Genomic DNA, 1,725 nt, shown 5'->3' with positions numbered 1-1,725 from the left:
GGAAAGAACTGCCTGAGCCTGGGTAATTTATAAAGAAAGGAGGTTTAATTGACTCACAGTTCCACTTGGCTGGGGAGGCCTCAGGAGACTTACAATCATGGTGGAAAGCTAACAAGAAAGCAAGTACCCTCTTCACTGGCTGGCAGGAGAGAGGGGAGAGTGCAGGGGAAACTGCCACTTAAAAACCATCAGATCTCGTGAGAACTCCCTCACTATCACGAGAACAGCATAGGGCAAACCGCGCCCGTGATCCAGTCACCTTCCACCAGGTCCCTCCTTGACCCCTGGGGATTACAATTCAGGATGAGATGTGCTTGGGGACAAAGAGCCACATCAGATGATCTGGTTATTGTAAACCTTTGATTATTTTGATTATTTTTCTACAGTTCTCATGAAGTTGATTCAGACAGTTTTGCTTGGTTTATCAATGTTTCTGTGGGGGGATGGGGACTTGGAGATACCTACTCTGCCATTTTTGCTGATACCAGTCAACATGTTATATTTTCACTTTTACATAATTCAATATGTTTTCCAGTTTCCCTTGCGACTCACTCTTTGACCCATGAATTATTTAGAAGTGTATTTAATTTCCATGTGTTTAGAGATTTTCTGGTTTCTTTTTTAAATTGATTTAGTTTAATTATTTTACAGTCACAGAACATATTTTGTATGATTTCAGTTATTTTACATTTCTTAAGATTTGTTTTGGCCGGGCATGGTGGCTCACACCTGTAATCCCATCACTTTGGGAGGCCGAGGCAGGTAGATCACCTGAGGTCAGGAGTTTGAGACCAGCCTGGCCAACATGGCAAAACCCCGTCTGAAAAACACAAAAATTAGCCAGGCGTGGTGGTGCATGCCTGTAATCCCAGCTACTTGGAAGCTGAGGCAGGAAAATTGCTTGAACCCAGGAGGCGGAGGTTGCAGTAAGCCGATTGCACCTCTGCACTCCAGCCTGGGTGACAGAAAGAGACTCCATCTCAGAAAAACATTTGTTTTATGACCCAGGTTCTGGTAAATCTTGCTGAATCTTCCATGGGCAAAGAATGTGTACCCTGCTGTTGGTGTGTGAAGTCTCCTGTAAATGTCAGTTAGGTTCCATTGGTCGATGATGGTGTTCAGTTATTGTATTGTTTGCTGATTTTCTTTGCTGTTTTTTTCCTGTGAATGGTCTAAGCTTCCTATTTCCTGTTTCTTTGTATATTTTGTAGTTTTTTGTTGAGAACGTTGCATTTTAAGTGTTACAATGTAATGACCCTCAAAATGTGATTCTCTCAGACACCTGGGATTGCTGGGTTTTGCTTGTTGAGGTCTGGAGCTCCCCTTTTGTTACTTTTCCAAACTATTTTTGCAAAGTGTTTCTTCCTTGTGCTTGTGTGGTCACTGAAATTTGTTTCATTATCTCTGCAGTCAGCCAGCCACCTAACATGGATTTCCTTAAATAGGTGGCTTTAAATGGGGTGGGGCAGAGGAGGATTTTGTCTCTTTAATAAAATCTTCTGAAGGATGTCCCTGGGGAAGCCACTGTTGCTGAGAGGGCCAAATAAACCAAGGCAAGCATCCGGGCTGGTCCTCAGAGACCCATTGGACCCACCAAGGTGCAGAACCCACGGTTTTGGAGGACAGAGTTCTGCTGCTCGCCCTGGCATCAGCCAGCTGCTTCGGGAACTCAGGCTCAGGAATGGGGGAGTGTTGGCTGGTTGGCACATGCCACTCACTCGTGAA

This window comes from Homo sapiens, chromosome 7 (genome assembly GCF_000001405.40).
Source record: "Homo sapiens chromosome 7, GRCh38.p14 Primary Assembly".
Taxonomy (NCBI): domain Eukaryota; kingdom Metazoa; phylum Chordata; class Mammalia; order Primates; family Hominidae; genus Homo; species Homo sapiens.
The sequence above is the reverse complement of the archived record's forward strand: the minus strand, read 5'-3'. Positions refer to the sequence as shown.